The sequence below is a fragment of the Homo sapiens genome, chromosome 4, assembly GCF_000001405.40.
Source record: "Homo sapiens chromosome 4, GRCh38.p14 Primary Assembly".
Taxonomy (NCBI): domain Eukaryota; kingdom Metazoa; phylum Chordata; class Mammalia; order Primates; family Hominidae; genus Homo; species Homo sapiens.
This window is the reverse complement of record NC_000004.12, coordinates 95,399,646-95,424,002: the sequence shown is the minus strand read 5'-3', so window position 1 is coordinate 95,424,002 and position 24,357 is coordinate 95,399,646. Positions and strand designations below refer to the sequence as shown.

General features: G+C 38.0%; 1 protein-coding gene and 1 long non-coding RNA gene across 3 annotated transcripts in view, besides 2 other annotated features; one reads left to right on the top strand and one right to left on the bottom strand.

Moving 5' to 3' along the window:
• Window positions 1-24,357, top strand: part of UNC5C (unc-5 netrin receptor C) — a 386,470-nt gene that overhangs the window by 124,971 nt on the left and 237,142 nt on the right. The window lies entirely within an intron of this gene.
• LOC124900736 (uncharacterized) lies at window positions 1,867-23,074 on the bottom strand. The gene is made up of 3 exons (XR_007058194.1): window positions 22,962-23,074; window positions 20,059-20,157; window positions 1,867-2,021 (listed from the first exon to the last, which is right to left on the bottom strand). It is a non-coding gene; the product is annotated as an uncharacterized LOC124900736 (long non-coding RNA).
• Window positions 22,945-23,445: an enhancer, noted in NCBI's record as "H3K4me1 hESC enhancer chr4:96321709-96322209 (GRCh37/hg19 assembly coordinates)". NCBI's record gives its function as "activates a minimal SCP1, AML or CMV promoter by ChIP-STARR-seq in naive H9 embryonic stem cells {active_cell/tissue: H9 hESC(naive)}" and the evidence as "EXISTENCE:reporter gene assay evidence [ECO:0000049][PMID:30033119]".
• Window positions 23,446-23,946: an enhancer, noted in NCBI's record as "H3K4me1 hESC enhancer chr4:96321208-96321708 (GRCh37/hg19 assembly coordinates)". NCBI's record gives its function as "activates a minimal SCP1, AML or CMV promoter by ChIP-STARR-seq in naive H9 embryonic stem cells {active_cell/tissue: H9 hESC(naive)}" and the evidence as "EXISTENCE:reporter gene assay evidence [ECO:0000049][PMID:30033119]".

Below are 24,357 nucleotides of genomic sequence, written 5' to 3'. Positions count from 1 at the left end.
TCAATTTTGTTATATAGTTTTCCACCTTAAGACCATCTAGATTGGGCCATAAGCATATTTCTATTCATTTTAGAAACAATAATCACTATACTAAAATGTTTGTTTCCCTTTTGTGTGTATCCTTAACTTTAGAAGATTAAAAAGATGTTCGAGAACGTTTACCCCAGTGTTACTATAGCCTGGCTCTTAATCACACCAATAGAAATGCTGACATGTACATGAACTTTTCTGTCATGTGTGCAGGAATGGGCACAGATAGAGTCTGCACCTTTTACAGAAAAAGCCTTAGATGACTTATGCCTCTGGAAATGTACTCTTCATTTTAAAAGACATTTCTTCTAAGTCTTCTTTAAATGTCTTCTGTGTGATTTATCTCCCCAATTTCCAAACATTCTAAATACTGAAAGACGAAAATCTCAAAATGTATTTATTTGGAATGGTAAAGAATACCATGGGAACTTTTTCTGTCTTTTTGAATGTATTTTATTGTGACAGCTTTTTCAGATCTTGTAGTGATCCATGGATAGAATCCCTCACATACAATTCCATGACCTCGTAATTCCATGGCGTTACTTACATTTTTAAAGTATAACTGCATTGAGAAAGGTGAGCTGAGAGCAGGCAACTTACTTTCTCCTGCCATACAGAAACAGCCAGTGGGCTCAGCTGCCAGGGAACACAGGTGGATAATCCCTGTGCTTTCTGGGCAGCATGGCCAAAGCACTGTTGTCTTTAATGCCACAGAGGTCCAAAATACAGTTTTATGTCCTCCAATTCCCAGAGAGAAATTCCTGTCAGTCTACTCACATGATTTTTAGGCTCAGGAAATTCTCTCTAGCAAAAGATACAATCCTCTCATATAGTAAGTGTTATGGTTGCAATGGGGCTTGTCAAGGGATTTGTCTGCATTAATAAAGGTATTCCCTGGGGTAGTGGGAAAACGTCTCATTGTTGAGCAGAGACCATCACCACTTTATGTATATTTAATAATAATGCTGTTCCTGAGCTTTCAAAAATCAACAAATTTAAAATTCTGAAATTGTAGACTGCTATTAATATTTTTGTATTATATGTGCTATGCCTAATCCCAGCGACCTTCCTCATAGTATTCATGTTTTGGTTTGTTTGGTTTTTTTCTGCATCTGGAAGAGGAAACACATATAACCACACATGTGTGTGCAAATACGCATATAAATGCAGCAGAATTATCCACTGGCAGCCATATTTGCCAAACTAATTAAAGAGAATAGCGTATTAACATGCACACCGTAAAGCAAACTCCATTCTCTGTAGAGCATTCTCTCACTGAGATACAAGGACTTTATCTTTGCACAGTGGGTCTGAACTAATTGAGATGTCTTAAAAAACAAGTCAGTTAAGAAGGTTGAGGCGACGGATGTTGTTGCAGAATTGTCAGTTTGCAAGAAAACATTCTTTGGAAAAAAATACAGCCCCCGGTTGCAAATCTAATCAGTGGCGGGTATGGGAGGTGGGGAAGAGAGCATAGAGAGAAAAAAACATGTCTCAAAGAGAAAAAAAGAGCAAGACCCTAATTGAAATGGGAAGCATTCTCATTTTAGAAAATGTTTTCTTAACAGATTGCTTTAGCCCTCTGCCTTAAGGTTTTTGATTAAATTAATGATGGGAGTGATAAGCTCCATTAGTGTTGCTGTTTCCAGAGGGAAATTGTCTACAGCCTACTCTTTTCCTTCCTTCCCCAAATCTCAGGTATGACAATAGAATTGCTAATTGAGACCATAACATGCCAAGAAGATGAACTTAATATTACTATGCAAATGCAGACAATCCAGGAAATTAATATTTCATGTGTGCCTACCTAAACGAGTAACGTTTCCATTATGGGCTTGGTGTCACTCAGCTGGGAAGCTGTTGCTGCAGCTTGTTGTCGTCAGTGAGGTCTTGAACTTCTCTTTTTTGTTTCATGTTGCCTGCTGTCTTGGGACCAGTCAGCACATCTGACATGTGCTCTGTTGGCCCTTGCTGTTACCACAGATCTTTTGCTAGTGCAAATAAATGAAGTTGTTATGATCCATAGGACATTATCAACTTGATTTCCTGTCTTAGTAGTAAAGTATTAGAGAAAGAAAAGCAGCTAAGTCTTCGATAATAAAGAGGAAAAAATATGTCAGTAAAATGAACCATAAAATCCATAATAGGAGATATGATGGGGACTTTTCCATGCAACATAATTAGCAGACTGAGTGCTCTCAAAAACACAGTAAGAAGAGTGTTACTTTGAGGGCCTGAAATAGTTATAGTAAATTATTCATAAACGTGTGTTTGTCAAACATGATTATATTTCATAATCTGATGAGAACTATTGTGTTAACAATTAGCAGTGTGTGTGTGTGTGTGTGTGTGTAAAAGAGAGTGTATAGTAGGAGTATGAAGCAATCTTGGTTTTAACATTCTGATTCTTGTTTTGAATGAAATATCAAATAATAGATATCTCCTTAAGAGCAGAAACCAAAACAAATCTTTGAAAAAAAAAAAATCTACCATAGTACCTGAAAGAACAACAAGCATTCAAATAGATGTTCGATAAATATGTTGGATATAATTTATTTTTACTTTTCCAATTTTGTTGAAAAATAGATGTATCCTAGAAATGAAGGGTGGCAATGTAGGCCAGAGAACAGTGGGCTTATTGGGGTCTCCCCTGTTCTCTCTTATGCTGTCTGTCTGCATGGCCAACCTTTATGAAGAATAAACTACAGTTATACTACAGCTATTCTATAGTAAAGAAACTTTTAGAGGAACTAGAGTCATAAAAATCTGTTCCAAAAAGATCACATGGAAGTGATTCTGATGTAAAATTTTGAGGATCCAGTATAATTTGTTTGGATAGAAATGACTGGAGAGGGGATTTTAGGTTGAAAATACATGTCTAATAATGGAGAAGGGGAGAAGTCTTGGTCCTATTTGCCCAGATGGAGTGAAAAAGCTGAACAAGAACATTCTAGAGATTGAAGATAGGATTCTTAGAGAACAGGTCCCAAATTTTAAATTCTAATAGGTAGCAGATCTGGAATTAAATGCCAGGAAGGCCTTGGTTTTAGGCTTCATAATCTTAAGTGCTAATCCCATGATTTTATAGAATTTGATCAAAGCAGCTTTTGTCCTTATTTAGTGGAAACTTTTCTTCATTATAAAGTTATGCCTCTTTTAAAATGTAACCTGGATTATTTATATTTCCCTTTTCTAGTCCTTCTTTGAGTCTCATGTATCTTTTCCATGTCACCCACAGTGATGGTGTATTCAGCCACAGATGCCCCCTGTGAAAGATAAGATAATGTTTTCTACCTTTTTATTGAAACCAGTTTTTCGTTGAAATTGTTTACTCTTATAGGTCATTGTTGTAAAATCTAAAAGGCAATTCCATTTAAAAGAAGGAAAACAAATGGACTAATGAGTTTAGGCCAATTTAGAACTCTAAAAAATATTTTATATATTTTAGCATATGCATCAATAAAACATAGTTGCATAAGGTTTTATTGGGACATATTTATCAATTCCCTTTTAAAAATAAAAGAGTGTAAGGGCTAATAACTAGAACAAATTAGATTTGTTAAATCTCTAGACTTATGAAAATATTGATTATTTTATTATGTGTCCCCATTGACACAAATATGTCTAGCATTCTCAATGAAATTGCTTACACAGTAGACTAAACCTTCCTGGATTTTATATTAGACATGAATGTAACAACAAAAAATAACAAGAATTAGAACCTAAAGTTACTGTCTTGGTACTTGTTCAATGAGCTTTCATCATATTTTGGAGGGAATAGGTGGATAATATTTTCCAATAAAACGTTTAACCTGATCCATCGTTTTTCAAACACACAGTAAGTGTAGAATAAATTAACACATACTAATTGCTTATGGATGCTTTGTTTTCGCATCTGATTATAGGTATTCATACTTAAGACATCTCAAGAGGAAATGTTGATAATGTCATTTCTTTGTAATAAAAAGACAGACCATCAAAATTGTGGAAGTATTGTGTTATAAGATATTTTTAAACATAAAAAGCCATTGTAAAAAATATCCATCCTGTCTATTTCTGTAAGAACATCTGAGCTATTCCGAGCTTACATTTTAGGAGTTAAGTTCTAGAGGCCAATGATCCTTTGTTTGGGGTATTGAATATTATCTAGTATATCCAGTACAGGTTTAAGAGTAGTTGCTATTTTATAAATGTTCAACATGGACCAGAAAAGCATCAGTCTATAAATGGATTCCTTGGGCCCAGAGCTCTGACAGAAGAAAAGTTTGAGTGTTTGGGGGTAGTGGGGTGGTGACTGCATTACTATATTACTGCAGCATTTCTGGTTTATGTACAGTAGCACTCAATAAATATATGTTTACTTTAATTGAGTAGGCATAAATAGCATTCACCAGAAATCCTTTGCTGGCAGCCAGCTGCATTTGACTGCTGAGAGCCATAGCATATCCTCTCTGAAGTTGGAGGGAACACAATCTCTTTTCAGTGTTCACCTTTTCTCAAAAAGCCAGAAGATCAATTATGATTTCTTTATGTTCACAGGTAAAATGGTTTAACAGAAAGTAAATTTCATATTATCATAAAGAACCCATGGGCAAAAAGGCAAATGGAGTAAAATGCTAGGTTTTATGACAGTTATTAGAGAATTCTTAAGGGTTTTTATCTATTTTAAACATTAAGAATTACTTTTTTCCATATATGTTGACATTATGGGGTTACCTTATCATCTTAACTTCCCTGATACAAAACTGAGGAAGCTTGGTGGTATACTTAGAGACCAACAAAAGAACCACCTGGGGATAATCTTTCTCCATCTCCACCCATCATTTAACACCAATTTGATATCAGTGTTTCAGCTGTTCGAATACTGACTTATCTAAGGAAGTCTATATTTTTGTTTATATTATTTCAATTCTAAATATCTCTTTATGGGAAAAAATAAGAGATGCTTAAATATTGAAGATCATCGTGTCTCATCTAATGAGGTGGATCTTCCAGAATCAGACTAAAGGCAGATATACAGAAAGTGAGCACCAGGAAAACATTCTGAAGTCGGGGCAGGAGGCAGGGGAAGGGCAGAACAGAGGAGGAGGAATGGAGTTCGTCCTAGACTTTGGGCTGCACATGTGCTGTGAGAAATTGGTATTGGCCCCTGATTGTGATGAAGAACAGGGACTTCTCTGTAATTGTTTATCATCTTTCTAAAGAAAGTTGGATATTTTTTTATTACCACTGAAAGCTTCACATGTTCTATGTAATGGCTAGAGGTATTTGATAACATGTTTTCTATTTTTCTTTTTCTAGTTTTTAAATAGATGGTCAGGAGTCAGAGAGGCATGGACAGCTGGTGCTTACTCAGTAAATGATATTCATGTTATTATAGTAAAAAGTAGGCCTCAAGTTACTATAAATATTATACTTCTCAACCCCAGAATGGCATCCCTATTCAAATATACATTTTAGATCACAGCATGATTACTTGTAATACATTTTGTTTTCATCATTTCTTTCTTAATTTTGTTTCTTAAAATTCCTAACCACATTTAGTCTAAAAATTGCTTAAAAGATAATGTAACACTTCTCCTGGTTTACAAAAATTGTCAATGAATCAAAGTGAAAAACCTCTTGTCATCGCGTTTCTAATGAAACTTGTATAATTTTAGAATTGAACATTGAAAGAGAACAATAATCACAAACTGATATTTCAAAGAAAAATGCAATTGCTTTGAAATGTAAATTATTCACTATAGCAAGACTAAGGCTGTGAAAATATGAGTCTAAAGTCCTGGAGGTTAGGTCCTCACTGCTCCTTCACCTAAGTGGAGGAATTGTCCCTAAGATGAATTTGGAAGAAGCAACCCATTCTAAAAACAGTTCCCCAATGACTTTTTGCTCATTCGCTAACCTACTATCACACCACATGGAAGAAGGAGTCACCATAAAGTTTCTAATCACTTCTTGAGACCATTAATTGCCTTAATATATCAGTAAGTCATTTTCTTTGGAACAAAATACAGCAAGAGTCTAACTGATGCTCAGAGGGACAGGAGTAAAGGTGCAGGAAAGGAAGCACAGGAAAATGAATTTCAATTGCTTTGTATTATCTGTGTTCATATATAGTTGTTTTAATTGTGTTTGAGAACAGATCAAAGGAGAAGAAAGAATTGATGTGGTGATGATAAACAACAGCAACCACATTTTTAGTTGGACTTGGCACGATGTCAGAAGCATACACGCAGTCCTATGTGTGCACACTCACCTACTCACCTACTCATTCCCTTTGTGCCTGCCCCCGTTCCTTCCTGCCTTGGCTCTGCCTCATACATAATCATCTTATGCATAAGGAAATACAACTATGAAATGTTATGTCAATTATAGAGATTTTATGTATTGCTAATTAGCTTAGGAACTGAAGATGCTTGCCTCCTTTTTTCCCTAAATTGGTTTTTAATCAATCTGAACAGCATCCCAAGGAAACATTTTGAAAGAGAATTACAAAATGGTCATCAGGAAGATTTTTCCTACTCACTAAATGTGAAAATCACTATGCAACAAGTGCATGATGTCAAATACTAGAAGTTTATTAATAATGATAATAACAATATAGGTCAAAGAGCTCTGTGCGTGTGGAGACATATTTAAAACAAATGATTAAACTTAATGCACATTCAGGACTTACGGGGCTAATATCTGTGAAAAGATTTATTAAATCTCCACCTGGCAAAATCATTTCCATGTGCAGTTCATTTTCCGGTGTGCCATTGAAGCTCTAAGTCTTCATACTGCAGAGATCCCGACGGCACTCATTTTGAAATGTATTAAAAATATATGTAAGAGCAAGAAAAGCATATGGAGTTCATTCAGCCCAGTTTTTTGTTCAACAAACTTGGATTTAAATCTTGCTTCTCACACTTACCTTGGGCATGTTCCTTGGCCCCCTTTTCTCCCCAGTAAGAGAATTGTCATAGAATCTACCTTATAAGGCTATTCCAAGAATTAAATGAGACTACAGACTTGTCACTCTTTAAATTTCTGGACCAGAAGTGAGCTATCATAAGCATTCAGTAGCTCTAATATATGCATTCAGTAAATCTTTGTTGAGTGTTTACCTGGTGACAGGATGGGCACTCTGCTAGCTGTAGGGTCCTTTCAAACAGCTTTACATTGCACACGCTATTAAATTCTGACTTTTTCAAGAAGTACAAGCTATTTAATTATATCAGGTATTTGGTTCTGCTGCTCTGTGATTTGGACATGGCATGTGGACATTTTGATAATGATACCATAGAAGTTTTGAAAGTGAAAGCATATTTTTGCAATGCTGATAAAAGCATATTTATGTGAACTGGATCTAACTGTCCTAATTGTCCGAATGTCTCCATTTAACCTGAATCAAATAATACCTGTTTTTCACTTTCACATATTATTTTTCTTTCTACCTCCTAGCCAGAGAATTCATGTCGCACTTAATATGACAGCAGAGGAGTGCCATCATACCCGCACCCTTCTCCCCTCACTTTTTTCTTTGAGACTTTATGCTAGTCACTGTCCCCAAGATACTCCCTACTGTTCCACTCAGTTCCTACAGGCTAATACTGTTCAAGGATGAACTGAGGAATGAACCTGTCTTAAACTAAACTTTCTAGTTCTTTAGGGAAGCTACAGTGCACATCACGATGTAAGCACTTCCTCACTCTAAAAATTCTTATTTAGCCTGTATTCTTTCCAAACTCTTAGTCTAGTCCCTAAAGTAATACTGACAGATGTTTCCTTGGTCTCTGCTGACCAGCCAGCCCATTCTGTAAAATAAGCACTTAAAGGTTCTTCCTCACATGGGCTTAAATCTTTCTACTTTCCATTCTCCAGCTATTTGTCTGCCCTCCGAACATTCACAAATAAATGTATTCCAAAGACTCCCTTCCCTTGCTTATTTTTTCAATTTTATCTTAACATGCCCATTTCCATCACGTTTTATATGATCTGATTAGCTTTGAAGTTGGGGATTGGGGGATGAGAGGAGACATAATTGTCTTTCAGTTATTGCCAGAGTGAAAAAAAAAACAACAATTTTAAAAAGTGACTTTCAAGGCACTTGAAATGTGGTCTCAAAGTAAAGATCTTTGTTTAGAATGATAGGATCATTCTTAGGGTTGCCATTTAACGCCTGTACTTTCTGAATTTAAGCAATAAACCTACTCTAGTTATTCCATACTTTCTAATTTACTCATCATGGATGAGTAAATTATAGCAATCCACGAAGGTTGCTAACCATCAAGTTGTTTTGGGAATGAGTTCTGATGCATATAATAACCCTATTTTAAAAATCAAACTTTACAAAAATGAGTCATCAAACTTACGAAAACCAGACAGTTGACCTTATGAATAGTGTGTAAATAGTGACCAGAGACAAGAAAAGTGGCACATAAACAACCCTCAATAAATATCAACTCAATCATTAAATGATTTTCATCTACTTGCCTTTTTTGTTTGCTTCTTTGGTTGGTTTTCTTAAGGACAACTCCAAGAGTTTGCTATGAATCATCTGATCCCTCCTCTGAGATTTGGTTTCAGAAAGCCACGTTAGGGATAGGAAGCTGTAGGGTTTTGTTTTGTTTTTTTTTTAACAATTTTAATGATATCTTTTGCTGAGCTACTTGAGGATCACTGCCCTCTTGTATTTGGGAACTTTGAAGTAGAAAGCTGTGACTAAAAGAAGAAAGTAGGAGGGTGCCAATAAATGTAGACTATGTTGAGACAAATATTAATGGCAAATGAAACTTTTGCATGCCTAGAATTTTAGAAAATTATTTACTTGGTTCTTTTACATGCATGCTTCTGGTGATCCCTTTAAGAGTTAAAGGAGTCTGTGACAGCTCTGGCTAAAGTATCCAGAAGACAAGAAAAGAAAGAAATCCTTGGCTGCGATGGCCCAGGCTCAAATGGATTTATAATCAAGGGAGAGGCTTACAGTTATATGAATTTAATATGATGAGTAAATATTATTGTACTGAAGATTTGGATTTTATCTTATTTCCCACTTGTAAAAGAAAGGTCACAATAATCTCCAAAATTCTTTTCTTCATCTTTTCAGCATAATTATCCAGATCATTTTCTCTCCTTCACTGCACTGTATAACCTCCTTGAAGAAAATGTGTTTAAGTTCAAAGACATTTTCCTGAACCTGAATAAATTACCTCAAAATAGTAGGTTATGGGTTTCTGCCTCTCATTAACATCATGTGGATAAGGTTATAGGCATTAATATCCTCATATAGAGGAGAATTTACTTTAAATGTACGTGTATATTTTATTAGAATAGAATGTGGACTAAGGGTTAGAGAAAGCTGACATCACGAAGTGTTCACATCCCTGTGGCCACACAGTAATAAGCTCTGTGTTCATGTTAAATACAAAAACAGCTTGGTCTAAGGACCTTCGTTGCTAGGTATTTTCTTTATACTCTGCTTTTGCCATCATCTGCCAATAAATTCAGGTAAGACCTCCCATTGCCTAACAGAATTTAAATCACTGCTGACAGGCTTCACAGGAAAGCCACCCGAGTGGCCTACTCAGCTTGTGTCTGGGGACACTGGCAAGCCACCCGGGAGGTGTTGGCAGCATAGAGTGGCCTTTGTAGGAAGTGTAGACCCTTGGACCCTTGCTTAATTTCTTCGTCAGTATGACCCTCCATCTTCTTTTTTCTTATCTGCTCTTTTTTGGTAACTTTCTCTCTCTACCAGACCTATTTTTTGTGGGGGGGAGGTGGGGAAAAGGGGAAGGAAAGGGCAGAAACTGCAACAGGAAATTTAAGGGGATTCCAAATATCTGATAAAAGAACCTCTCCTTAATTTCAGATTTACTTACCAACCATTTGAGCTATTGAATAAATTAACCTGGTGTGATATTTGGGGGTAACACATACATCTGATCAAAGAGAAATTGGTAGTTGCCCATGTGCCTCCACTATTTAATAAGATACTGACATATTTGGCTCTGCATTTGGATCTGAGTGCAAATTATGGAACAGCTTTTCTTTGATGGTAAAGACACAACCTTCCCATTTGCAGGCTGTCTCTTGCATAGAAAAGGACAACCAGGGAGCTGTTCTGCAGCTAATTTGACACCTGTACATTTGCAGGGTGTGCAGTAGGGAGCTGTGTAGCCAGATGACCCAGGTAGCTGCTATAGAATATTTATGTTCTTCTGCTTTCTTGGCTGTTGCAGGGACTTGCAAATAGGCTACGCGGAAATGGTTTCAACTAGTTGAGAGAAACATGTTTTTAATGAACAAGTGTTATTATTTGGAAAGGAACAAAAATGAGGTAGAACACAGTCCCAGAAAACACTTTCCGCAGTCTGTGTAGCTTTCAAACCTTCATTTCCACCACTGGGAAGATGAATTCAGTTGATTATTCTGAATCGTATTATATTCAATAAAGTGCAAAGGTAATAAGACCCTCCATACAAATGTGGCATAATCAGAATAATTAGATGTTAGATGATGCCTGGATGATGAGCTTGATGAATGGCAATTCTGAAAGGGAGTTTGGCCTTCTGTAGGAGATTGCTGGCAGCCAGGCCCCACCATGGGTGGGCCTTGAGAAAGCAAGGCTGAGGAGGCAGCAGGGAAATATAGGTCAGCACTCTTGTGGGCATCTCCAGAGAGCTAGGAAAATCCTGCTTGCGTTGCATTTACAGTGCTATGAGAGATCCTGGAAGCAGAGGAGGAGAGGCCACTGCAGAAAACTGACCAGGGTTTGCCTCAGGATTATGAAAGCAAATTATAACTCCAACAAATCAAGGAAAGCTGTAAATCAGGAGGTTGGAATGTGGCAAGGGCTTTGGCATATGAGTTTGGGGAACTGAGTGTGGTAAAGAGGGAAGGTGAGTTTATCAGAGGGTCACATGGGATTCATTCTTTGCTTACCAATATGTTTTGTACCTGTGAAATAAAAAATTTCCCTCTTGACTTTTGTTCAATTCGCAGAAGTGAAGGAAGTCGAGAGAGAATCCTGGGTATGTAGATGGAAAGTAAGTACTCATGCCAGGGAAAATTAGGAAGCTGACAAAGTTGCTTTAATCCTTCTCTACTGTTCCTGTCCATGCCAGCCTCACCCTTTTGCTACCTGGCCTTTCTCTTACCACCTATTTCTTGCAACGTATGCTCTCCCATTCTTTCTGTTGACAGCGGGAACCCAAAAACTACTTCAGGGTCAGTTGGTGACTCATTGTGTTAACTCTCACAAGAATATTTACATATTAATTGTCTTACATGAATAAGGCAATAAATCATGTATGAAATAAATTGTAAATGGTAGATTTTCAGGCATCAGTAATTTTTTTGTGGGGGAGACAATTGACTTCACACTGTTTCTCATATCATACCAAATCTGGTGACTTCTCAGTGTATTCTTAATATATTCATTTATCCAACAAACATCTATCGAGTGTCCATGATTCTGTGTCAGGCACAGCTCTCAATACTTGAAAAACAACCTCAAGATAAAGGTCAGTTCCTTCAAGGAGCTTCCAGTCTAGGATTGGAGGGGACCTAACATGAGATTGCCATCAAGTGTGAGAAAAGAAAAGCAGGGTCCTTGGAAACCTCCCCTGGCACAGCTGTGCCACACAGAAGGTGTTCAGGGGGCACATTCTTCATGGAAAATACAATATTAATATGAGATTGGAATTTTGTGTGGAGCGATATTAACGTGGTGAAGAGGATTGAGAAGGGTAGTTTGGAGAAGATGGAGAAACAGGTACGAACATTAAAAGGCTTAAAGCAGCACACTCTGGAGAATTACAAGTCAGTTGGCATGACTTGAATGTGAGTGTTGAGGAAGAGAGGAGTAATGACCAGAGATGAGATGAAGAAGCTCACGCAGGACACTATGCCAACCAGGAAGTGGGCATTTATATTGTAAAGAAATAGGTCAGATTTAAAGCAGACACTGACATGACTAGAATTAGGTTTTAGGAAAAAAAAAAAAAAACATTCCACAGCATTATGGAGAAGTGGTGGGAGAGAGTGATGACAAGAGGCCAGGGAAGGCCACTTAGGAGACTCTGGCAGTTGTTAGGCAAGAAATGAGAAGGTCCTTAACGAAGACAGTAGCAGTGGATACAGGCAGGAGAGGGCCGGTTGGAGGGAACACAATGACTAGTCTGAGATCCAGTTACCCCTGCTGAAATCCATCAGAAAAGTTTCAAGTTAATAATTAACTGTATTCTCCTAAATATCACTTAGCCAACTAGTATGATTTTAAATTTACAAAGAAAAGAGATTGCGATCCAATTTATGAATTTCTAATCTGCCTAATTTCCTCCAGTGAAATGCAAGTTTGTACTGCAGTATGTGAATTATTTAAAATACATGCACTTTTCCTGTAGTGTGCAGATTTACGGTTGGATACAAAACAGCCTGATGCTAAACATATGTGAACATTCATTTTTGAAAATCAGGAAACCAGAGAGTTACTATTTCCTGCAGGAACTTCTAAAAGAAACCAAAAAAGTAACATAATGTGCCAGAAAGCTCAAGGGAATGGATAAAGTAAATTGCAAGGTTGGGAAATGTGGCCACCCAAAAGAAGATAACTTTCTCTTTAAAATTCTGCACTATGTACCCCTAATCAGATAGGCTGAGTGACTTACAGAGGATCCTTTGTGGACATCTGAGGGTTTTTTTTGCCCCCTAGACCAAAAACATAAATCTTGTTCCTCTAATAAAGACGTTTCAGGCAGAAAGTTATGATAGTATACTCAATATCTTAAAGTTAGATATGCCAAGACATTGGAAGACATCCATCTTCCCTGTCCTGGTCATTCTCTGGTTTGTCCCGAGGGGCTGTGGCATGTGTTTTCTTTGAAATTTTCAATAACAGATAAGAAAATAATTTCTTTTGGATCATCAGCTTCCCCTGCTGAACTCCTGCTAGGTTGACTTGTAGAGACAATTAAACCAAGCATTTGCCAGTTTAGGTGGACATTGTTATTGCAGCATTTGTCCCTTTCCTGACAAATTACATTATTCCTCTGCCCTCCAAACCATTAGAAGGTCCAGAGGGAACCAGGTGGTGGTGAGGAGGGGCTGATCTCACATTTGTCAACCCTGAGGCAGAGCTAGGCTGAGTGTCCAACTCCCTTTGATTCTGTACACTGGGCGAGCAGGGTGGGGGCTTGATTGGGGTAGGATCCACATTTGAATGCTGTCATTTGCTTCTGAGCAGAAGGCCATCATCTCTAGTGTTCAGAGTGAATGTGATGCCCCCAGATCTGTTCAATAATTGCCCTGATTTCTGCCTGAGGCTTGACTTTCTTCTAGCTAAACGCTGCATCCCCTAACACTCTCCCCCAGTACTAACAAAGTGGCTCTTTCATTCTGCTCTGGGCGGTAGCAGCATCTTTTGCCTGCACTTCAGCTCTGAGTCTGATTCAGCATCACAAACTTCCCTTTGTGAGCATCTCTGACTCCACCCTCTTCTCTTCCTCACTGAAAAATAATGGGGTATTTTAGTGAACGCTGAAACATCTGTTGAATTCTAAAGAAGAGGTGGAGTCTTAAATAAATGTGCATAAGTAAGAGAAGGCAGGTAACCCCTTGGGTGAAATCCATTTGTCTTTTTTCCTTTTTTCTTTTCATTAATGAGACTGGGACCTAGTAGGAGGTATCATGCATTTAGAGTGGTACAGGGACATTACAACCCAGTGGATTAGGGCTGGTTTTAGGAACATGCAGATATAATTAAGAGGTGCATCAGTCCAGGACAACAGTGCCTAACTTCTCTGAAAATCAGCGGTGTCATCTGCAAAGAAGAAGGAGTAATACCCTCCTTACAGGCTGGGGTACAAGTATTATATAATACATAGTAAGGTACTAACATGGCATGCTAAACACCCCAAAATCACTAGCAGTCACTATTTTCATTGCCATGGTTGATTTTCTGCTTACACTGTGATCATCTACTATAAGAGGGTAGAGCCATCAGCCCACTGGGAGATTGGGTGTGGAAACATTGGTTTAACGTTAAGTCAGCTGAGCTACACAAAGCCCCTCATTGATGTCAGGCCAGCCCTAGGCGCACATAGAGGCATACAAGAGCAGCACTGCTTATGCCCTGACAGACATTAGCCTCTTGTGACAGGTGAGGAATGGAGCAGAGCAGATCCTCAAACAAGTCAAGAAATAGATAGAATGCTTGTGAATGCAATGAAGAGGAGAAAGGACTGAGATAGGGAATGGTGGGCAGAGTGGGTGCTTGATTTAGTTTGCCTGGTCAATGAGGGCCTGTCCAAGAGACATATCCCCCAACTGGACTCATAGAGGATATTTTTTTTCAGTACCAAAAAATTGTGCCCACCTTCACTAAGTAGTTGTACTTTTAATATCCATTGATTTGAGGATACATAAAGATAAAAGGCAATTGTGAATGCAATAGAAAGCTTTTACACAAGTGTGTATTTTATTCATCAGAGCAACATTAATGCACATTTGAAAAATAGAGTTATACATATGTGTAGGATATATTCTTGATTCCTTCTGAAGATAATGCTGGATTTGAATTTGGAGTTAAGAATGTGGACATTTTAACCTTATCCTGAGTCCCTTGAACTGTTTGATGTCTGCAGGTTGGGAGTGATGGATGAGAGTGCAAAGATTAGACAGGAAATACAAGAGTCCTGAGTCATATTTTCATTTTTTTTCCTAAAGATAAACAAAGAGCAAAGAAGTCATTTACCTCCTTTGAGTCTTTTTTGTCATTGGAATGAGAATAGTAATGCTTGTTATTTAACCTCCTAATGATTGTGTGAGGTGGAACTAATCTGATAGATAGGAAAGTTCTTGCAAAGCGTTTTGAACTATGTGAGGATAAAGCATTGACAGTGGCTTGAAATAAGAGAATCAAATAATCTAGAATATAAGTCAATTGTTATTTAAAAAAACTAACTTGTCAAACTGTGTACTTCACCTGCCTCTTTGTAAATTCGGATCATGGGTAGCTCTGCTAGCATTGGCTATCTCAGTCTGTTCATTTCTCTAAATGATGTGGGTGTGAGTCAAATCATAGGCTCCCAAGTGAAAGGGGGTATTATTCTCAACCCTCTAATCTTCAGGAAGGTTATTCCATGTTATACTTAAGGTTATACTTACATGCTGTAGATCACCCTTATCTCATATTTGAAGAGAAATGTCTTTCTGTCTTTAAAAATCTCTCTTGTATATATTTTCTGCTCTCTTGTGTATAATGTAAACCCAGAAATAAATTTTTACACATTTTTATATTAGAAATATTTCAGTGCCCTAAGCACAAATATTTCAGTGTATTGAAAGGCCAAACTTGATTCTCTTTCTTATTAAACGGTTCAGTGTTCAGTTAGTATATATCAAATAATACTGACTGTGCTGCTTTTTAATACTTGGTAACAAATGCTTTACTATTGAGAGAGGAAGATTTCCCTTAGAAATCTAACATACAGAAGATGAGCAATTCAAAAAGATTCTATAGTTCATCATGTTTTAATATTTTATATTTAGAATGATTGACTCCAAAGACAAAAGCACTAATGAAAACAGACTGAATGCATTTATGTGATACAGAACAGAAAAGGAAAGTTGCAGGTGAAAAATTTTGGTATCTTATAGACAGAGAATTTTAGCTAGACAATCAGAAGTATTTTCATTTCACAGAAGTCTCAAAAATACTTCCAGCCATTTAAAGCACATAGTAGATTAGATATTTCAGAAGCATCTGAATATCCTATGACAATGAAATATGCTTGCTGCATTTTGTATTCAATTTTTATAAAAATCTGCTTTGAAGTCTTTATTGAATTAACAATTTATTTTAAAATGAATGTATTTAACAATACATTAACAACATAATGGAATTACTTTAATTTATAGATTAAGTAAATGTGTAATATATTTTTACCATAATAGTAAAACATGACATTTTAAAAAGCCAAATAATTCCTTACTAACTGCTGAGCAACCCACTTACTTTTGACTCTAATCATTTCTTCTGGTTTTTACCCAGGTATTCCTAAGTAAAGTGTTTATTCTATTATTCTTAACATTTTTAGCCATCTGTGATTGACTTTCAACTATTGCAAATTGCAATTTCACCCTGTTATGAGCCCTTTTTCCATTCCATATGCTCCCCTCTCCTAGCTGCCCAATACAGTAATATAACGCCTTTTGGATAAATTAGCATTAAGTGTTTACAGCCTCTTGGTTGTACAAATGTTATTTGAAGGTGAATCATCATATTAATTTATTTACTTTCTTGTATGACTTCTTGTTTTAATTGAAGTTAATAACTTGTCTCTTTGTGCCTCTCTCTCTCTCCTCATCCTTAGATTTCTACATACTAAAATTAATGTATCCCTAAGTGCTTCCATAAAATTCCAGAAAAACTACACACATCATGTAATTTGTCTGTTTCTCTTTGGATGCAATCCTTCTGGAGACCCCTGCCCTTTGTCTCAGCTGAGCATGATTGGTTTTAGCTTCAGGAATGTTGAACAAGTGAGGTGTCCACCTGCGATTTCTCTGCCCACTGCCCTGCCTCTACCCTCTCACTTTTACTGTACACCCTCCCGCTTGAAATTCCTCACATCCCATTGTATGTTTTACTCCCCACAGCTGGTGAAACATACCCTTTAGCATCTTCCTCAAAATGAATAAGTAGGTAAAATTTTAGTGCCCTCGTATCCCAAAAAACACCTTTATTCTCTTCATATAGTCAATCGATACTGTGCTGCATATAAAATTCTAGATAAGAGCTTTATAATCTAAAACTTTAGCTTTTAATAACTCATCTTATTTTCATATTCAGTGTTTTTGACAACCTTAATCTGCTATTGTCTACTCTCCCATTCTCTTTGTTCTAGTGTTTGTAGCTTTTCTATTTCTTCACTGGAATTGGGGATTTCAGGAGCAAAGTACAATCATTTTTGTATAATCAATAACTTATACCTCCTTCTTGAAGCCCCTAAAAATGTCCATTTAACATTATGTCTGTTAAGTTTGCCATCTATAACCACTGAATTATTTTGATTTTAAAGGCAAATGTTTGCATTTTTGAGTGAGCATATTTTTAAATCATGAAATTGTTGAAAATATAGTTTGAAGTGAACTAGCTTTTGAAAAATATATAAATTGCTTTTTCTTAACATTTTGAAACCTTAAGATTTGAATCTGAATTTAATTCTCCAGAAGCATATAATGCACTTATTTCTCAGTCTTTGATTTGCTCTATAAATTATACTCAGAAATTTAAACTTGGAAATAAAGAATGAGTAAACGTTGTTAATGAAGTAGAGTGGCTTAAGGGACTGACGGTGAAAGAAATCAGGGGTTTTGACCTAGTTTTGTTATACAACCTATTTTTTTGCCATGTACTGATAAATTTGGACTGTGAATCAAGTCTGCCCTAGTTGCATCCCATATAAGCCCTGCCTAAACTACAGTTGTCAGGTTTCATTTTAGAGAAATGAAATCAGGGATGGACCTAATGGAATCAAACAATAACTTTTCAGATGATGTCAAGGTCTTTGAAAATCCTGCCACGGTACCTATGGATCATGGCACCATCTCCAGGAAGCCCATGCTGTATAATGCAGAACATTAACTGGAGGGGAGGGCACTGCTCACCCAACCCAACATTAGTGCAGATGAAGCACTGCTACAGATGGGAAGCAGAACACTGAAAAGCAGGGACATGGGAAACAGGACCAGTAATTTGGTTTTTCATGTCAGGATGAAGTGAGAAGTCATGGTATTGAGGAGTCAAGAAATATTGAAATCATACCTTTACCTAGCATAAAAGTCGATTTGTTCCTGTTTTTTTCAGTCCTCGTGACATTAAAGCAGTGATCTCAATTTTTTGCTAGTGCCACGGAAAACTCCTAACATTTGTTAATCTTCATTTTTAACAAACAGAGACGCCTTGGACCCCTGGCCTCTGGCAAGCAAAAGAATCTAAGTAAATGATGAAACAGAGTTGTATGTTCATTTCACATTATGGTAACCTATTGATGACAGTTGATTCTGATTTCCATTTACTGTGATGACATACAGTTTCCTCTTATAATAAATGTGCTCAGTAAAAACATTAATACATTTCAAAGAAAATATTCACAAATAATAGTAAAGGCAGTGAGAAAATATATCAGAAATTGTGAGCCTGGTGCACACACAGCTAACGTGTGGGAAGTTCAGGCACGCAGCAATAAAACAGGAGACCTGGACTTCGGTTCTGTCCATGGCAAATATATGACCTGGGCAGTTCATGTAACTTTTATTTGCTTCTACTTCCTCATCTAAAATGAGGAGTCAGCTCAGATCTCTTAATAAACCCCTTATATTTCTTAAATGTTGAGATTTCAAGGATTTTCTTTGCGCTTAATATAGGCACAGGTTGTTTTGGGTTCGCAGCAACTAGCAAGGAGGAAAAGATCATGAAGCAGCTGATGATAACCACCCAGGTCATCCCCCTGAGGATCACTGGAATGATAGAATAACAGACTAACTGTCTCATAGAGCTTTAGAGCTTATAGTGAAAAGGAAGAGCTCTTTGATTCCCCTCACAGGGCCACAAGACGTGTGACAGAGGTGTGGCTCACCTGTTCAGTGCTCCCACCACTCAAACCCCTTCCGTGAGGGGGAGTATGCAGATGGGCACATGTAGAGGCCGGGGCGAGTACTTTGGGCTCCAGCTCTGCAGTAGTGTCTAGGGGTGGGTGCCTGCAACCCGAGAGTTACAAAGCTCTTTCACCTTTGCTGTCCTCAGATGGCTTGAATGTTAACGGGCTCAATGGACGCTCTGCCTTTTTGCAAGAGCAGAGGGCCAATATGATGCTTTCTGTACCCCAAGCTCTTGTCCAGCATCCCGGAAGATTCGGGTCACACACTCGAAGAATGAATGCAAGGTTTTATTGAGCAGTGGAGGTAGATTTCAGCAGGATGGATGGGAAGCTGGAAGGGGGGCATGGAGTGGGAAAGTGATCCCCCACAGGAGTCGGGCCTCCCACTGGCTAAACTCCTCTTCAACTGCCCCCAGCCAGACTCCTCTCGGCGTTCAGATCTTCCTCCTTTTCTCCCTTTCTCTGCCACGTTGTTCCACCATCCATCTGCTGATCTGCTGGCTTGCTGCTCTGCTCCGAAGTTTGGGGTTCAGGGTTTATATGGGTGCAGGATAGAGGGCATGGTGGGCCAAATGGCAACTTTTTGGGTACAAAACCAGAAATTCCTGTTCTCATTTAGGGCCGCAGATATACAGGCTTGAGGGTGAAGCCTTTGCCAGAGAACCACCCTCTTGTATCTGTATTTCCCTGTGTCCTGTCCACATCAGTAGCACTCTTAGAGATCATTAAGATGAATTCTCCCTGCCAACACTCATTTAATAAATGAGAAAACAAGTGTCCCAGAGAACGTATGTGGCCCATTATTATACAGTTGAATAGTAACAGGCAAAAAACTATTTATATCCATGGGCTTTGGCCTAGAACCCTGGCTCCACTTTGGTTCTCTTCATTGCATATCATTATGGCCTTGGAATATGATTTTCCTGACCTTATAATGCTTTTAAAAAGGGAGAGCGATACCTGGGTGCTGATTTTTTTTTAATCCAGTACTTTCAGAAATGAAATGAGTTTCATCAATACCAGCAGCTAATCAAAATAACTCAGGGCTACTTTTGTTTCTGACATACTTTGGGTAGTTTTGTCCAAAAATATTCTATTTCCCTTTGATGGTTAGATCTAACTGAAATGTGGGATATACCTGGACCTCTCCCCAAGAACGTTGTGAAAATAAGCAGCAATTATAAATGGCTTAAGAATTGTATACAGTTGCATTATTAATTTATGTTTTTTGTCCATTGGTGATATAAAATAAAAGCGATTCTTTTCAAAAAAAATGGAAGAGAAGAAAGTTTACATGCTTTTTGGTTTTTCCCTCCCAGGCCTTTAGAGTCTATTGACTGTTCATCAATTTAATTATTGTGTTATGTATGTCTAATGTACTCACCACACAGGAGGCTAAGTAGTTTCCTTCCCCCAAGGTAGCTTTCAATGGCTGGAAAACGATCCATCTGTGAGCCACACTGGCCTCTTCGGAAATACCCTCCTATTGATTACAAGAGAGAATTGTAAAAGATTATTCAAGAGACACTACTGAGGAAACATATCAGTGTTACTTTAATTATGACCTAAAGCAAATTCTTGAAACAAGGATTGAACAAGATCCACAGAGCACCGAAGAACTGTGCAGTGGATGAGTAAGCCAGATAGAGATGGACAAAGACCAGAGGAGATGCACTTGGGAAATGGTAATCCATCTGTAGCTGCTACGAATATGGAAAACATCTATTTATTTTATTTCAATAATAAAGGTATTATATTTAAAATATTTACAATGGCTCCCAAAGTGGGGCAAGGTTTTGAAAAGTAGCAGAAATAAAGTGAAAGTATTAGCAGGTATTTATTGAGTACTATTGACTTCCCTGAAATGAAACTTTCAGTGGCCTCCTGCTGTCTATCAAATGAAAAGCCTTCTTGTCATCTCCACACTGAGCTGGTTCCCAAGTGTGACTCCCAGCTACTGAGCAGCAGCGGGGTTCCAGCTCACCTGTCCTGTTCAAGAACATGCCCGAGATTGCTCTACCAACATGAGTTTGCTCAGGCTGTTTCTTCAAATGTTCTTCTCCCAGCAGATTCCAGTTTCTGCCTTTGGGATTTCAATAATACTCAGAGGCTTATTTCATGGCCTTACTCTGAAAAGCCTCTCCTGATTATCTCAAGTAGATGCAAGCTTTTTCTCTTTTTTTATTTTTATTGCCTACCACACTTATTCCTTGTTCTACTTAGTAATTACTGGCCCACGTGTCTAATTTTCTCTTTCTTCCCCCAAGACTGTGAAGTTCTTGACATCCTATGGAACATAGCAGTAATTTATACTCATCAAATTGAAAAGATATCTTAAACACCTTACAATGTATTTTTAAAGAAATAGTATCTCATACATGAAAAAGTGAATCACTGAAAATTCAGATCACTGTTAGGACCATAGAAGAAATGTCTCAAAGAGACTTATTAGTTTCTTAATTTAGAATAAAGGGAGCAATCTCTTTAGACTAGGGGACTCTAAAGAAATTGCTGCCAAGGAACTAGGATTTAAAATAGATTTAGAAAGGTTTAGCTAATTGCAGATAATAATCTAGAGAAATGGCATGGGCTAAAGTGTAGAGGAGGAAAGTATAGGCTGCAATCAAGAGACATAGTTGCTAAATGTGTGTTATAGCATATTTATATAGTGATAGAGGGTTGCTATAGCTTGCAAAATATTTTTCTTTATATTATATGTGTCCTCAAATACTACCCTGTAACACTAAGGTGCCATAATGTTTTAAGGCCCTCTGGGATTATCTGTTTATTCTTCTCTCCTATTTATCTGTGTGATCAGAAACAGAGGGAACCATTATTATGCACTTTTATTCCCCTCAAGGCTAAGCACTTTTTAAATAAATAAACAAATGGAGAATGATTGTGCTGATTATACAAAATAAGTCCCTGAGAGAAGTGTGCTTGATCACAGAGCCCACACTTAAACATAAGGCTTCCTTGTCTGTCCAGTGCTTCTAGCATGCTAGGACAGCAGGCCTAGGCAGAAGAGAGAAATCTGAAAATGTACATCTGATGAATATGATAAATAGGGTAGCAGCCATTTAAAAATTAGAACCAATGGAGTAAAACAGATGATATCTAAGATGTATAATGGCATCAATTAGAAGGCATTCTGAAAAAAATTACAAGTAGGTAGAAGTGGATTTAAATGAAGATATTGTATTAGTAGCATTACATTTCACAAAATGAATAAAACTACAAATGATACATCTTTAGAAACAGCTTTTAGACAAAAACTAGATAATTGATATGTGAAATTGCATGAAGACAGGAGAAGCAGCATTTTGCCAATCTCTCTAGTAATAACCACTGTCCACATCTTCAAGAACCACAGTAAGATACCACTTTCGAAAAGGCATCCTTGACACATTCCACATTCCATTGTACTGTAATATCTCTTGAGCTTTCAATTAGAAATCTGTATTGTTTGATTGTCAGCTATGCATCTGGGGATTACAAAGGTGAATAAAATATTGTCCCTGGCCTCCTCCCAGAGGGAAGTATATCACACAACTCTGCTCGGATCCACTGAGTCTCACCTCCTTCGGGCTCTGGGCTACTTGTTATGCCCCAAGTAGGGGCTCTGACTCAGCTTCTCAGGGTTAGACTGAAAATATCACGAAGAGGCGCTGAACATATATGTTGAGTTCTTAGGATTATTACCCAATCTGTATTAAATTACTGGGGTGAGGCACAGTGGCTCACTCCTTTAATGCCAGCACGTTGGGAGACCAAAGTGGGAGGATTACTTGCCCAGCAGTTCAAGACCAACCTGGGCAACATATTAAGCCCTCATCACTGCAAAAAGCTACAAAAAAACCTTAGCCTGGCACAGTGGTGCACTCCTGTAGTCCCAGCTACTCAGGAGGCTAAATTGGGAGAATCACTTGAGCCTACGAGTTCAAGGCTGCTGCAGTGAGCCATCATCACAGCACTGCACTACAGCCTGGGTGACAAAGTGAGACTCTGTCTCAAAAAAATAAAAAAATAAAAATAATAAAAATAGGAATAAATACATTATTAGCTCCTATGTTTTGCTCACAGCTTTAATACCCCCCTGAAGTTCCCCTAATTTATGCCTCCTGTATTGCACATGGTAGGCACTCTACTAAGAACAAATTGAAGCTTCCAAATTAACAAAATATATTGAATAAAAAAGAAAAATACCTCAAATGTTATATCTCAAGGACAAAAAGTATTTCTTTTAGTGAGAAAATCGTCTCAAATATAAAAATAAAAAGAGAATACCTTAACATCCAAAAACTCAGTCGTTAAAATAAAAGAAAATGAGAATATCAATGAAGAAAGAATCCGTTTGCTGGCAATTTGGCTCCATATGTGATTTGGCAGCTGTATTAGTTTCCTACTCCCCTGTAATATTTACCACAAAATTAGCAGCTGAAAACATCCATTTATTATCTCACAGTTCCTGTGAATTACGTGACCAGGCAGGGCTTACCTGGGTCTCACAGGCTGCAATGCAGCTGTTGGTCAGGGGCACATCCTCATTCGAGGCTCAACCCAGGGTGGAGTTGGGGACTGGAAGGTTGATCCACTTCTAGGCCACCTCAGGTTGTTTGCAGAATTCATCTCATTGTGGGCCGGGCGCGGTGGCTCACGCCTGTAATCCCAGCACTCTGGGAGACCGAGGCGAGTGGATCCTGAGGTCAGGAGATTGAGACCATCCTGGCTAACACGGTGAAACCCCGTCTCTACTAAAAATACAAAAATTAGCTGGGCGTGGTGGCGGGCACCTGTAGTCCCAGCTACTCGGCAGGCTGAGGCAGGAAAATGGCATGAAACTGGGAGGCGGAGCTTGCAGTGAGCCGAGATCGTGCCACTGCACTCAGCCTGGGTGACAGAACGAGACTCCGTCTCAAAAAAAAAAAAAAAAAAAAAAAAAAAGAATTCATCTCACTGTGGCTGTGGAACTACGGGCCACATTTTCTCGCTGGCTGTGATCAAGGTCTGCTCTGAGCTCCCACAGGCTCCTTGACATTTCTCCTCTCTCAGAATATAGCAGCTTACTTCTTCAAAGCCAGCAAGGTATAATGTAACCTAATGATGGGAAAGACATTATGTCACCTTTGCCAGATTCTGTTAGTTAGAAGCAAGTCACAGGCTCCTTCTGCACGCAAAGAGAGGGGATGATGTAACTCATTATTACCTGCTTAGAATGTGTTCACCGTGACAATGTTGTCCACTACAGTCTATATATATGCAAATGATTGGCTACCTTTATCTATAACAATGTCAGAAACAAAGTCTAATGACTGGGAAGTTGACCATTATTTCAAGATATATTCCTGTGAATATATGAAGGCATTGTGCTCAATTAGGGGTAAACAGTGGAGATGCAGTCCCTATAGCTGTAAAGCATAGTCTAATGGGGAAGACTAACATGAAAGACAAACAAACAAAAATCCTACTCCCATACATAATTAGTTTCTAATAAGTACTGAGGAGGAAAGGAGCAGGGTTCTAAGAAAATGACTAATGAGGAAAATCCACTCTGGTGCTATAAAAGAGAATAAGAAAAAGTACTTTGAAGTTGGTGATCAGGGCATGCTTCCCTAAAGAAATGTCATTTGACTACCTAAAGAATGCCTAGAAGTTATTCAAGAGGAAGAAAACTTGAGGTAGA